This window comes from Homo sapiens, chromosome 15, assembly GCF_000001405.40.
Source record: "Homo sapiens chromosome 15, GRCh38.p14 Primary Assembly".
Lineage (NCBI taxonomy): Eukaryota > Metazoa > Chordata > Mammalia > Primates > Hominidae > Homo > Homo sapiens.
In genome coordinates, this window is record NC_000015.10 from 76,908,538 (window position 1) to 76,924,067 (window position 15,530).

Consider the following 15,530-nt stretch of genomic DNA (forward strand, 5'->3'; position numbering starts at 1 on the left):
GGAGAATGGTGTGAACCCAGAAGGTGGAGCTTGCAGTGAGCCAAGATCGCTCCACTGCACTCCAGCCTGGGTGACAGAGTGAAACTCCATCTCAAAAAAAAAAAAAAAGGTATGTCCACGTTGTAGCATGCATCAACGCTTCATTCCTTTTTAAGGCTGAATAATAGTCCATTGTATAGAATATATAATCACCTTTTATTTATCCATCAGTGGAAGGACATACAGACTATTTCCACTTTTTGACTATTATGAACAATGCTGCTATGCGCATTCATTTACAAGTTTTTGTGGGGATATATATTTTCATTTATTTTGGGTATATTCCTAGGAGTAGAATTGCTGGGCTACATAGTAACTGTATTTTTAAATTTTTCTGGATCTGCTAGATGATTTACCAAACCAGCTACACCATTTTATACTCCCACCAGCAGCATATAAGGGTTCCAGTTTCTCCACATCTTTTCCAGCACTTACCATTGTCTGTCTTTTTTATTACAACCATCTGAGTGGATGTGAAGTGGTATCTCATTGTAGTTTTGATCTGGACTTCCCTGATAGCATAGTTTCATGTGCTTATTGGCCATTTATGTATGGTATTAGATAAATGTCTATTGAAATCCTTTGCCAATTTTTTAATCAGGTTACCACTCATTTTCTTTTGCCACAAAATCTATTCCTATTAATGATATGCCAAACAGTCTGGTTCCCCTCCGTGATGTGCTGCTGCCTTGGCCCCACTGATGGCAGATAGGTAACTTGCTTCAGCCAATAAAATGTAAGCAGGAATGTCAGTTCCAAGCAGAATTTATAAGAGCTAGCTTGTGCGTTCATCATGTCTCTTTTCTGTCTGCCACAAGCAATTTGTTTTAGAGAGAAGCTATTCCATCAGCATAAGTTCCATACTAGAGATGACATGGAGCAGAACTGCAGCTGATCCCCAGTGGATATGTAGCATTTTATATGGTTTGACTGTGTCCCCACCCAAATATCATCTTAAATTATAATCCCCATAATCCCCACATGTCTAGGGAGAGACCTGGTGGGAGGTAAATGGATCATGGGAGCGGTTTCCCCCATGCTGTTCTCATGATAGTGAGCTCTCACAAGAGCTGATGGTTTTATAAGGGCCTCTTCCACCTTTGCTCCTCATTCTTCTCTCTCTCACCTGCCCTAATATAAGATGTGACTCTTCCCCTTTCACCATAATTATAAGTTTCCTGAGGCCTCCCCAGCCATGCAGAACCGTGAGTCAATTAAACCTCCTTCCTTTATAAATTACCCAGCCTTGGGTGTTTGTTTATAGCAGTGTGAAAATGGACTAATACAACATTTGTTTTTGTAAGCCACTCAGATGCTTTGGGACATTTGTTACTGCATCATAACATAGCCTGGCCTAGAGGACACACTCATCCTATGTGACTGGCTCCACTGTCCCTCCAGGCTCCTTGACATGGCCTACAAGGCCCTGAAGATCAGGCTTGTTGACCTGTACAGCCTCATTTTTAGGCCATTCCCTCAACCACCCTATCCTCCAGACAGAATAAAATGCATTCAGGCCCTGGAATTTACTTCTTCCTCTCTCTTTCTCCCTCCCCCTAACCTGACTTAGCCTAAGTATTCATTATTACTGGATTAATATAATATTAATAGCTATCTTTGCCTAAATATTTTCTATGCCCACAACATATATGCGTGTGTGCATGTGTACACACACATGTCTTGTGCTTTGTTGTCAGATACACACACACACACACACACACACACACATATATATATATTTGGTCTGACAACAACCCTAAGAATTAGGTGCCATATCCCATTTTACAAATCAACAAAGACCCTAGATTTACTTTTCCTGGCGCTAGGAAGGGGTAGGACCAGAATTTGAACCTAGGTTCATTTCATTCCAAAGCCCTTCTTTGAGTCATTATGCTGTACTAAGAGATAAAGGTAATTGAATTTTAGTAAGCATTTACTATGTGGCAGGCATTATGCTAAATGGATATTAGCATGGACTTTTCATGGATTATATTTAACGCACATAGAGAAATCCATGCACTTGAAGTATAGAATAGTGGTATCCTACAGCAGTTTAAGACCCTGAATTTGGAGACAGATAACATAATATGCAACCTTGAGCAAATTACTAAAACTCTCTAAACTCTACATTCATCATCTGTAAAATGGAGCAATAAAATACACCTCAAAGGTTTTTGTGAGTATTAATATGAATCAATTTTTAGAAAGCACTTAGAAAGCCTTAGCATAGAGAAAGAGGTCAAATTGTACCAACTATAATGTTTCTTTTGTCATCTAATCTCACAACAAACATATGAGGTGGGTGCTACTGTATAACTACCCACTTTGCTTCAGCTGCCCTGTCTTTTCCCACCTCCTGACTTCCACACATGAGTCCCTCCAGAATGTGCCTGCTCCTTTTTGCTACCTGATCAACTCCCACCCACCTCTAGGACTTGCCCTAGACATCCTTTCCTGAACTTTGGCAACAGGCTTGGTTGCTTCTTCCTCTGGGCTTCCATAGCATTTTGTATGAACTTCAATAGTTAGTCTTCTTTGAAAGCAAGGAACAAGAATCCACTCGGCTGGGCGCGGTGGCTCATGCCTGTAATCCCAACACTTTGGAGGCCAAGGCGGGTGGATCATGAGGTCAGGAGATCAAGACAATCCTGGCTAACACAGTGAAACCCTGTCTCTACTAAAAAATACAAAAAATTAGCTGGGCGTGGTAGCAGGCACCTGTAGTCCCAGCTGCTCGGGAGGCTGAGGCAGGATAATGGCGTGAACCTGGAAGGCGGAGCTTACAGTGAGCCAAGATGGCGCCACTGCACTCCAGCCTAGGTGACAGAGCGAGACTCCATATCAAAAAAAAAAAAAAAAGAATCCACTCAACTGTTTACTATACCATGCCCGGCCCCAGACCCACTTCTAAAGTCAAATCTAGTGACTCAGGAGAGAAATGTAAGGTCTATTCCAAGAAAAAGAAACTTATACACCAAAACCACTGCAAAAACGTGTATTTTCATCAGCAGTAACCTGAAAAACATTTATGGGAGTAGATTCTAAGGGTGTTTTATAAGAAAAGATAGAATACGATAACAGACCAGCCTAAACTTACAATATGGATGTCCTTACCTGAGGTTCTCCTTTCAATGTGCTAAACTGAGTGGCGGGGCTGAGCACAGTGGCTCACCCCTGTAATCTCAGCACTTTGGGAGGCCAAGGGGGGGCGGATCATCTGAGGTCAGGAGGTCGAGACCAACCTGGCCAACATGGTGAAACCCCATCTCTACTAAAAATACAAAAATTAGCCAGGTGTGGTGGCACATGCCTGTAATCCCAGCTACTCGAGAGGCTGAGTCAGGAGAATCACTTGAACCCAGGAGGCAGTGGAGGTTGCAGTGAGCCAAGATTGCGCCATTGCACTCCAGTCTGGGTGACAGAGCAAGACTCCATCTCAAAAATAAATAAATAAATAAATAAATAAATAAATAAGTAAATCAAGTGGAAGCATCTCTAATGGTTTGCTTGGTTGAATGACTGAAACTAGGATTCAGTGGTGGCCTACATTCAATGAAGCTGAGCTGAGATGCCAGAACATCTCATATAACGTGGAAAAAGCAAAGGTTTGGTTTTTTGTTTTGTTTTGTTTTGCTTTTTGAGACGGAGTCTCCCACTGTCACCTGGGCTGGAATGCAGTGGCACGATCTCGGCTCACTGCAACCTCTGCCTCCGGAGTTCAAGTGATTCTCCTGCCTCAGCCACCCGAATAGCTGGGATTACAGGCACCCACCCGCCACCACGCCCAGCTAATTTGTTGCATTTTTAGTACAGACGGGGTTTCACTATGTTGGCCAGGCTGGTCTCAAACTCCTGACCTCTTGATCCACCTGCGTCAGCCTCCCAAAGTGCTGGGATTACAGGAATGAGCCACTGCGCCCAGCGCAAAGGGTTTTATTTAAAAAAAAAAAAAAAAGTCAAACTACAGGGTCATATACAAAAGGATCAAGGTTATGAGAGGGTTGGAGTGGATTTATTATGTGTAACCTGTTCACCCACTTCCTGACTATGTTTCCTGGAAGGACCCAGAGGGCACTAAAGCATTGAGAAAACATTAGTCAGAGAAGCGTAGCCATCCTCAAAAGTTCTGCAATGGCTGTCCTTTCTGGACTAAGGATGATTGAAACAGTTATCTGATTTCTATGGGAATGTTGGCATCATGGCAAGGGCCATGTAGTAATACTTAACCAACAGAGACAGGGAGGCACAATTACCATAATGGGCAGCAGGCAGTCAGAAAGTTTTGACATTGAGAGATCTGTGGGGGTGCTAACTCATGACAGGGTCCCTAGGAATAAAATAGATGGGCAGCCTGCTGAATTATTACTTGATATATGCAACTGGCAAAACTGTAGGTCAAGTGAGCAGAAACCTGTCTTGAGTTGCCACAAAAGGAAATTGTAGCCTCTCATTTAGTTCCCAGACCTAAACTGCTTCACATATGCAGGGTCCAGGGATTGAAGCAGAAACTGAGTCCCCTTGAGGAAAGAAACTACAACACTGTCACAACTGTATACTATAAATATTTCTCCAAGCCTGTCCCAAAAGGACCTGTGGCTATTATCAGGATGAGTGTGCCCTGAGGAAAGGGACATATCTAGGCTTTGAAGGATTATTACACACTACTCTGAGTTTATGCTAATCCTTAAGAACCCCTGGATAGATTGAGAGCTTTGGGTGGTCAAGTAGAAAATGAAATTTATAATCAAGTCCATCACTCATAGGGCTCAATAGGTTCTGTAGACCCACTCTGAAGTTATTTAGACTAGCCATACTTGTCAACTGGCAAAATCCCTGCACTGGCTCCCTGACCCATAAAGAGAGGACTCTTATGGTTAGGTAGAGCCAAGTAGAAACCACTGGAACTGCTCTTCTCTAACAAAATGGTAAGCCAAAAACAATACCACATCCCTGTGGGAATTGCAGACATTAACTATTGCCACCCTTAAAGACTTGATAGATACAAGAGTAAGGATTCTCATCACACTTCTGCATAATTCCTGTGTTTGACTAGAGGCAAAACTAGATGGTGGCTTCACTTGCAGCTTCCAATTTAGATACGGTATTGTTGCTGGAACAAATCAACATAGTCCTGCCATCTATTATGTAGCTATTGATCTGGAAAATCATTTCCCCTCATATCAACTAGCAGGAAAAATCAGAAAGCAGCAAATTTTTACTTGTCAGAAACAGCAATTCACCTTCACAGTCTTACTTCAGGGCTATGCCAGCTCTCAAACTCTGTAACAGTCTAGTTCACAGAGACCTTCGTCATCTAGACATGCCATAGAACATCATCATGTGATCCACCACATTGATAACATCATGCTGATTGGCTTGGTGAACAAAAAGTAGCAAATATTCTAGATGCCTTAGTAAGGCACATGCATGCCAGAGACGTAAAAATTCAGTGAAAGGAATGTTGGCATATCCCTGCATAGCAGTGTTTTTCAACCAGGTGATTGTGTCCACTAGGGAACATTTTGCAGGAAATGTATAGAAACATTTTTAGTTGTCACAACTGAGGGTAGGCAAATTAGTGGCTACTGGCATCTTTCAGGTAGGGGCCAAGGATGCTGATAAACATCCTGCAATGCACAGGATAGCTCCCCACAACTAAGAATTATCAAGCCCAAAATAACAAGATTGAGATCAAGAATCCCTACTGTAACTTATAGTAAGAGACAACTTTCTGCATCTTGCACATCCTAACACTAAGAAAGAGGCACATATACCACATTTGGGTGTATTTCTCTAAACAACTTACTGAGAACCCTTTTCTCCCAGAAAATTAAAGGGCTCTGTAGCAGGTCCAGGGTGCTAGGCAAGCTATCTTGCTACTCAAGCCTAATAATTCAGAAAACCCAAAGCGTCTATGGCAAGTAAGGATGCTGTATGGATCCTCTGGCAAAATAGGGGTCCAAAGCACAGAATCCCAGGGTTTCGACACAATGCTGTGCTCTTTTTTGCTGAAAGAGCACTGGATTCTATTAAAGGCTAGATTTTGATGACATCAAGATCAATGGGCTCTGAGCTGCCCATCATGAACTGCCATAAGATTGGGTGTGCATACACAGCAAAAATCCATCATCAATTAAAAGTGCCGTATAAAAGGTCAGGCTTTAGAAGATCAGGAGGACACAAGTAAGTTGCATAGGGAGGTGGCTCAGACTCTAAGGCCTCAAAAGGAATTTCCTATAACCAGTTATCAGAGGGGGGAAAAAAAACTTAAGGCTGATTTAAAGATGGATCTGTACAATATGTTGGCATCAGCTGGAAGTGGACTACTACAGTATTACCATTCTGCTGATAAGTGTCTCTGAAAAAATGATGAAAGGCAATCCTCTCGGTGTGGAAAACTTTGAGCGTATATTAGGACGTCCTCTTTACCTGGAAGGAGACAGGATTTTTGTATGAGGATTTTTGTGACCCATACGAATGCTTACAAAATGGCATCCACTGAATAGGCTTTCTATAATCAGATGGGCAGGCCAGGCACGGTGGCTCACGCCTGTAATTCTAGCACTTTGGGAGGCCGATGCAGGCAGATCGCAAGGTCAGGAGATCGAGACTATCCTGGCTAACACGGTGAAACCCTGTCTCTACTAAAAACACAAAAAATTAGCCGGAGGTGGTGGCACATACCTGTAGTGCCAACTACTTGGGTGGCTGAGGCAGGAGAATTGCTTGAACCCGGGAGGCAGAGGTTGCAGTGAGCCAATATTGCGCCACTGCACTCCAGCCTGGGCAACAGAGGCAGACTCCGTCTCAAATAATAATAGCAATGATCATCATCGTCATCATTAGATGGGCAAGAAGATCCATTCTGTAGATATTGGTCAGCTTCTTTATTCAGCTACACCAGTTGTTGTTCAGTGGGCCCATATGTAACTAACCACGGCAACAGGGATGGGGCTATCCATGGGATCAACAACATGGACTTCCCTCTCCAAGGCAGAAAACGCAGCCTGCCAACAAGAGAAGCCAACAGTGAGCTCCTGAATGCACTATTCCTTGGGATTCAGGGGACATATTGATTATATTGGACCTCTTCCATCATGGAGGGGCAGAGATTTGTCCTCACTGAAATAGACACTTTTTTTTTTAAACTTTCCCTATTCAAAATGGTTCTGCCAGCATCACTATCTGTGGACTTATGAAATGTCATGATGCTGTGATTCATTTTCATGATATCCTATACACTGTTGCTTCTCTCCAAAGATATCATTTGAAAGCAAGAGAAACTGGCTCGTGTTCTTGGAATTCACTAATATTATCACATACCCCAACACCTGAGAACAAGTAACCCGGCAGACTGGTGGATTGGACTACTGAAGCCATAACTAGAGCACCACCTGAGGGCCGGACACTTGTCAGGATGACCCAGACCTGCCTGTGGAAAGGAAAGGAGCTGCCCGCTTTCTTCTGAGAACTGTTCTGTTGCCTCTCTGCCTTCAGTGAAGCGCCTCTCCATCTATGAGGTAGTCCATGAGGTCCATAGATGTGGAACAAGAACTCGGGACCCACCAAATGGTGGGACTAAAAGAGCTATAACACAAACAGGGCTGAAACATCCCCCCTACTCGCCATGTTGTGAAGGCAGAAGAGCTTTGGCCCTTTGGGGAGCCTAGACCTGGGAGCTTTGGCCCTTCGGGGAACCTGGACCTAAGGGTTCCCTGGGCCAGGGCTGTGACTCCCTCTTTGGGGTTCTGCCGTTCCTGGTGTCTCCAAGCTTCTGGGCGCCACCGCGTTCCTCTCACCCAGACATGGGTGCCTGCAGCGGAAGCTGCACGCAGTACTTCTGGTCCAGCTGCAGCATGGCGTGGAGCCGGCACCTGTGCTGGCACCTGGAGCTGCCTGCACTGTTGCAGCCATTGTGCCTGGCTGTGTTCAGTGGCTGGACCCGTGCTTGCTCACCCACACACAACCCTTGCTGCTCCGCCCCTGGCTCACACTTGGCAGGTGTGGGATCCGGGCTGGTAGTGTAACCAAGTGCAGCCTGCCAGGCCAAGTGGGTGGAACAAGCCCAGCAGGAACGAGCAATAGGCAGAAACGCGCCGCCAGCCGCAGAGGTTTCCAGCTGGTTAAGCGACACCCCAAGGATCCTGTGACATCAGAATTTCTAGGAGGGCTGGAGAATCAGTCTCAGTGAGCTCAGGACAATTCAACCAGAAACGATACCCAAAATTCCCACACCAGAATTGGTCCAGTGAAGGCAGCACTGCTACGGGAATTTGATCTTCCCGTGATGTTGGTGACGTTTGAGAGCTCCTATCAGTCCTCTTGTGTCTAACTCTGATTCAGAGAATTGAAAGATTGTATTTGTTGGGGGGGGGGGGGTCCTAGATCATGTACTCTAACTATAAGAAAGGCTAGGAGAGAGAGTATATGCCATTTTCAGCTTCTAGAGTGGGAGGCACACTTTAAGGTGGGGAGTTCTTCCAATATCAAAAAGAAAACAGATGCTAGATGGAACAGAATTTGGCAATATTCACCAGAGTTTACTTCTTTGCTATGCAAACCCAACACTAACATAAACCCCTGTTCTCGTAAGAAAGAAAAATTATTGCCAATTATCGTGATGCTACTATTCCTTATAAAAGCACAATGTGCTCATCCCTTCCCTAAAAGGGTGATAACCTCATTGGCAGCTACATCCAGTTTGTACAGAATCTCTGAGTGATACTCAGTCCTCTTCTGGTTCCATTATGATCCTATCTCAGTATTCTGTAACACATAAACGAAATTGTAAAATTAACCACCAGCTGCATGCCATGAAGAAAAGGGACAGAAAAAGGAAAAAAAATTAGTTAAATATATATACATGATTGAACAATGCAGAAAATTAGAGAACCTTCAATCTTTATTTCTGTAAGTAGTCACGAGACTGTAATTGGTATTTCTAATTTCCTTCCTCCACCACCCATTTCATGTTCTCTTTGCCCAGAGGAGCTGGCCAGGTTTTATTACCTGATACAATGACCCAAATCTTCATTCCTAAAGGATCAGAGCCCTTGATGGTCTTGTCCACGTGAGATTGTTGTTACTAGAGAACTTTGCCGCCGGACCTTGGAAGTACCAGAAGTCACCCCAAGGAGATCTTTGAGTCCCAGCCGTAGTCCTTTTAGCCTCTGCTATTTATCAGCAACTTTATCTCCTCTTTTTTCTTTTCTTTTTTTTTTTTTGAGACAGAGTCTTGTTCTGTCACCCAGACCATAGTGCAGTGTTGTGCTCTCAGCTCACTGCAACCTCCTCCTCCTGGGTTCAAGTGATTCTCCTATCTCAGCCTCCCAAGTAGCTGAGATTACACATGCATGCCACCACGCCTGGCTAATTTTTGTATTTTTAGTAGAGACAGGGTTTCGCCATGTTGGCCAGGCTGGTCTTCAACTCCTGACCTCAGGTGATCTGCCAGCCTCGGCCTCCCAAAGTGCTGGGATTACAGGCATGAGCCACCACACCTGGCCCCTTATCTCCTCTTGATAGTGAGGATTAATCATCTCAGCAAGTACCATTTTCGGCATGTTTTCCTGGTGACTTGAGGAACTTTATCCAAGTGGCACTCTTAGTTTCCAATTTGGTGGGACTATAGTTGTGTCCCCTGGCAGAAGCATTCCTCCTGTGCATACTAAGACCTCTAAATGAGCACATTAAAGAGTTGTGTGGATGGAAAACAAAAAATTTGCCAGTTTACGCTATGTGCAAAAAGCATACATTCTACTTCCATCTTGGATTCTACATTTTTGCAATGAAAAAAAGACCACATATTTGTTGCTGACTTAGAGCATATAACATATCTTAGAATGGCATCCAACCTTGGAAAATCTCCCTGCCAACATTATTCCCGGGCTTCAGTAAACCATCCTACCTCTCTATATGGCCACTTGTTTCTGAGTGATGGGGTAAATGATAAGGCCAGTCAATTCCATAAGCATCATTCATTGCCTTAATTCTTTCACCATAAAGTGTGTGTTCTTTGTTAGAAGCAATGTTACATGGAATACCATGATGGTTAAGGGCGATGGATGGTGTTATGCTCAGGGGCATGGTGGGCAGGGATATTGAATGGTGCCATCAGACAGCAACCATCCAAACACTCCAATACATCCCACTTTAATTCTAGGCATCCTACATTCCAATGCCCTTATTTTCATATAAGAGAATGGCTGTGAATTCATTAAATGCCTACATTCAGCAACCCACATGATCAAATTTTAAATTGGGTTTTTAGCCACCTACAGGTGTAGGAAGTTGATGGTTTTCAGTTCATACCATCAGTAAGAGACATTGCCCAACACAATTCACTGAAGGATCCCACACGCTGGTGTATGGGTTGTGTTAATGAGAAACAGTTGTTTGCTTAAAGAAAAATGTGTGAAAAATAAAAGATTAGTTTAGTACTGGGTGCTAGAAAGAAAAAAATACACATATAAAGTAAATTACTGGAAATAATTTCTTGGTAATTCCTCCAACTAAAAGTGTTTAAAATACCATATTTAAGTTTCATTTTTTGTTTTGTTTTATTTTTTCGTTTGAGACGGAGTCTCGCTTTGTCACCCTGGCTGGAGTGCAGTGGTGCGATCTCGCTTCCCTGCAATCTCCATCTCCTGGGTTCAAGGGATTCTCCCGCTTCAGCCTGCCGAGTAGCTAGGATTACAGTCGTGAGCCACCATGCCCAGTTAATCTTTGTATTTTTGGTAGAGACAAGGTTTCACCATGTTGACCAGGCTGGTCTGGAACTCCTGACCTCAAGTGATCTGCATGCCTCAGCCTCCCAAAGTGCTGGGATTACAGGTGGGAGCCACTGTGCCCAGCCCCGTACTTAAGTTTCTAGCTACCAGTCCAATCCTCCTGATGCCTGAAGAGCCCTCTGTTTAGTCTTCACCAAATAGTCATTCAGCTTGTGTTCAGAAATCTAAGATGACAGGAAATTCAACCTAACCTAAGGCCACTCTAATGGCTAAAAGTTCTTTGTGTTCAATGGAATTTTTTATCACTGTAACTTAACTCTTGAAACTAATTTCAAATCTTGAAGTCTTTTATATTTCGTTGTTAATGAAGTTCCTACAGACACAATCTTCTATATAGAAAGTGACTCACAGTCTATTAAAATGCCTTAAAATTATAATTATAGTTATGTATACCAAGATAAGCTGTGGTCTGATGTTCATGATTTTTATAAAAGTTGAAGTCCAGGAATTGTTTCATACAATAACTTAGGGTCTTGTGGTCTCTCACCTATTAAAAATCCATTGGATGAATAACTTCTTTCTTGCTTTGGAGAAGGCCTTGGGTATGAGTAGTTTATTTGGGAGGTGTCTTAAGTAGGTTTCAGAAACAGCACGAGATGGGGATTTGTGTGCTTGTGATTTATCAAGGAGATAAATCGGGAGAGACAGGTAAGAAAGAGTGAAGCAGGAAAGGAAACAACGTATGCAAGAATGAGGTTCCAGGTGAAATCTAGCTTCAGCCACATCTTACAGGAAGCTCTGGAGTATAAAGTGAATGGCAGAGCCCATCTTGCATCGGACAAAGGAGTGGAATTTTTGTATTCCTGCCCCAGACAGTTGTTGGTCATGGTCCATGAAATGAGAGGTTAGCATTACTCCCAGGAATCTCTAGCCACAGAGACTTCAGACATACATGGAAAATCATCTAGAGAAAGTTGTGGAGATGACCCGTTACCCAAGGTATCTGTGGCAGGTGGGCATTAAAAACAAGAACCAGACTGAGGAAGAGGATTCAGGAGATCTGGGCAAGGCATCAACAATGTCCACAAAGGTCCACCTCTTGCACCATTCAGGTCCATTTGCTTTTCACGTTAGGTATACTCCACCCTGTTACAGCTTCTCTGGGATTCTGGTTGGTTATAATTTCTGGAACACTTAAGACAGGAAAGTTGGTGAGACAAACTACAAACCCCACTGCTGCAGTTGGACCCAAGGCCATCACTGATATTTATCCCTTCTCTCCACCACATCCTCAGGTAGTACTTCTGCCCATCCGCATGGTTTGTTGGGTGGGTTGCCTCAGACTCTTATCTCTGAGGAGCCTGAGCTCCTGATTACCATGCCACTATCAGGCTCTGGTTGCTGAATTTTTCCATGTACAGTTAAAACTAAGCATGGGAGTACCAAGATGGCGGATTATCCAAATGCCAAATGCATTTCTTCTGCCTGCACCCCTTACACAGCAGCAGCCCTACCTCCTCCTGATAACCAGAGTCAATTTCTCTGCAGATGGTAACTCCTTTCCACTAGCACAAGGAACCCAAAGTGTCAAGGAAGCAGTTGTAGTATTAAGTTTAGTGGGATCCTCTGTTGACTGGTAGAAGTATATCCTTTCCAGAAATCAGAATCTCCACAACTGCAAGATTTAAAACTGTGAGGACAGGCAGAACAAATTCTGGGTCTCCAACAGTGATGAGGAGTGGGGCCACTCCCCACTCCACTCTTTGATTCTCAGACCCATGTGTTGCATTGACTGGAAAGGCAGCACCATACACTGACTGTTGGTTTAAGGATAAAGAAGGATAGTGACCTATCCTCACAACATGTCATTATAGCTAGATGTTCATTCTTTACCAGGGCAAAATAGCAAGCCAGGAGATACTTTTTAAATGGTATAGAGTTCTCTGCTACAGATGTCGTGGCCTTGCTCTAGAACCCAAATGGTCCATGCTATGACTCTCCTATGGGACTTGCCAGGTATTCCAGGTGGCGTCTTTTTTCCATCACAGAAACTCTAATATAGTAGGATCTTCCGGGTTATATGGTCCTAATGGCAGGACTGCTTGTACTACAGGTGGATCTGCTATAGAACTCTGATTCTAGACCCCAATCAAAGCTAGCAACTTTCTGTATCTCCTGATAAATGTGTTAGAGCAGCATTCCCAAGTGTGGAATATGCTGCCTCCAAAACCTGAAAAGGCCTTCTAAGTATTATGTTTATTTTTTCTTAGTGGGTGTTTCTTTCCTAGTGGTAGATGGTGCAAGATACAAAAACTTGTCTTTTATCTTGGATAGATTGCCTCAGGCCACTGGAATCCTAAAAACTTTATAGATGTGTCAGGCTCTTATATTTTTGTAGATTTATCTTCCACACTCTAGACTGGATTGTCCTACCAAGGTATCCAAAGTAGACACCATTTATTATCTGTCCAGTATGATTAACATGATAGCACCAGTATAGTGGTCCAATGTGATGTTCCATGGTATGTCCATATGATTTGGGTCCCTTTAGATTAGAGCAACACTGTGAGTGTATATTGTATACTGTCCTCCATTCCATATGAAAGAACTGCTTCTGGTCCCAATTCCTAATGGGTAGTTAAAATAATGCATTCACCAAATCAATAGCTTTATATCATACACCAGCAACCATATTAATTTATTCTAGTAAAGATAGCACATCTAGCACACCATCTGCAATTGGGACTACTACTTGATTAAGTTTGCAGTGGTCTACTGTCCTCCACCATGATCCACTGAGTTAAAAATTTTTTGTGTGAGATGTAGCTCATATACCATAAAAGTCACCATTTTTAAATTTAAAAAAATGTTTAAGTTTATTTTTCTTATATTGGAAAAATATATGTAACATAACTTTTACTATTTTAGCCATTTTTAAGTGAACAATTCGGTGGCATTAAGCACATTCCCACTGTTGTGTCACATTACCGCTATCCATTTCCAAAACTTTTCATCATCCAAACAGAAACTCTGTCCCCATTAAACAATAACTACCCATCATCCCTCTCCCAGCCCTAGCCTACTTCTATTCTGCTTTCTGTCTTTATGAATTTGAATATTCTAGGTACTTCATATAAGTAGAACCATACAATGTTTGTCTATTTGTGTCTGGCTTATTTCACTTAGTATAATATCCTCAAGGCTCATCCATGGTGTGGCATGTATCAGAATATTACTTGTTTTTAAGGCTGAATAATATTCCATTGTATATATATATATACCACATTTTGTTTATCTATTCATCTGTTGATGGACATTTGGGTTGTTTCCACCTTTTGGCTATTATGAATAATACTGCTGTAAATATTTGTGTACAAGTATCTGTTTAGATCTCTGCTTTTAATTCTTTGGAGTGTATATTTAGAAGAAGAGTCACTGAATCATATGGTAATTCTACATTTAACTTTTTAAGAAACTGTCAAACTATTTCCATAGTGGTTGTACCATTTTCCATTCCCACCAGCAAAGCAAAAGAGTTCCAATTTCTCCACAACCTTACCCACACTTATTCTTTATATATATATAATAACTTTGTATTTATATTATTTATATATATTATATATATATATATATATATATATATATATATATATAAAATAACCATTCTACTGAGTGTGAAACGATATCTCATTGTGGTTTTGATTTGCATTTTCCTAATGATAAGTAGTGATATTGAGCATCATCTTTTCATGTGCTTCTTGGTCATTTCTTCTTTAAAGAAGTATATCTTCTTTGTAGAAATGTCTACTTGGATTCTTTGCTCATGTTTGAATTGGGTTATTTTGGTTTCTTTGTTGTTGAGTTGTAGGAATTCTTTATACATACTGAATATTAATCCCTTATCAGATATATGATTTGCAAGTATTTTCTCCTATTCTGTGAGTTGTCTTTTTGATTTCTAGACAGTGTTCTTTGAGTTACAACAATTTTAAATTTTGATGAAATCAAATTTATCTTTTTTTCCTTTGATTGCCTGTGTTTTGGTGTTATATCTAAGAAACTGTTGCCTAATCCAAGGTCACAACAATTTCACCTATTTTTTCAGAGTTTTGAAAGTTTAGCTCTTACATTTAGGTCTTTGATCCATTTTGAGTTAATTTTTGTGTATGGTGTGAGTTAGAGATCCAAATTCATTCTTTTGGGTGGATTCATTCATGTGGGTATCTACTTGTCTCAGCATTATTTGCTGAAAATACTATCTTTTCCCCATTAAGTGGTCTTGGCAACTTTGTCAAAAAATCAATTAAGCATAAAGATATGGATTTATTTCTAGACTCTCAATTCTAGTCTATTGACTTATAAATCTGTTCTTATGCCAGTACCACATTGTCCTGACTACTGTCGATCCACTAGACTTTAGTAAAAGCTAGAATAGTAAATTAAGAGTGTATATAGGCTAGGCGCGGTGGCTCACACCTGTAATCCCAGCACTTTGGGAGGCCAAGGCGGGCAGATCACCTGAGGTTAGGAGTTCGAGACCAGCCTGGCTAACATGGTGAAACCTCGTTTCTACTAAAAATACAAAAAATTAGCTGAGAGTGGTGGTGCACACCTGTAATCCCAGCTACTCGGGAGGCTGAGGCAGGAGAATCACTTGAACCCGGGAGGCGGGGGTCGCAGTGAGCCGAGATCACGCCATTGCACTTCAGCTTGGGCAACAAGACCGAAACTCCATTTCTGAAAAAACAGAATCAAAAATAA

At 42.1% G+C, this 15,530-nt stretch overlaps 2 annotated features.

The window, feature by feature from the left end:
* Positions 7,486 to 7,986: an enhancer, noted in NCBI's record as "H3K4me1 hESC enhancer chr15:77208364-77208864 (GRCh37/hg19 assembly coordinates)". NCBI's record gives its function as "activates a minimal SCP1, AML or CMV promoter by ChIP-STARR-seq in naive H9 embryonic stem cells {active_cell/tissue: H9 hESC(naive)}" and the evidence as "EXISTENCE:reporter gene assay evidence [ECO:0000049][PMID:30033119]".
* Positions 7,987 to 8,487: an enhancer, noted in NCBI's record as "H3K4me1 hESC enhancer chr15:77208865-77209365 (GRCh37/hg19 assembly coordinates)". NCBI's record gives its function as "activates a minimal SCP1, AML or CMV promoter by ChIP-STARR-seq in naive H9 embryonic stem cells {active_cell/tissue: H9 hESC(naive)}" and the evidence as "EXISTENCE:reporter gene assay evidence [ECO:0000049][PMID:30033119]".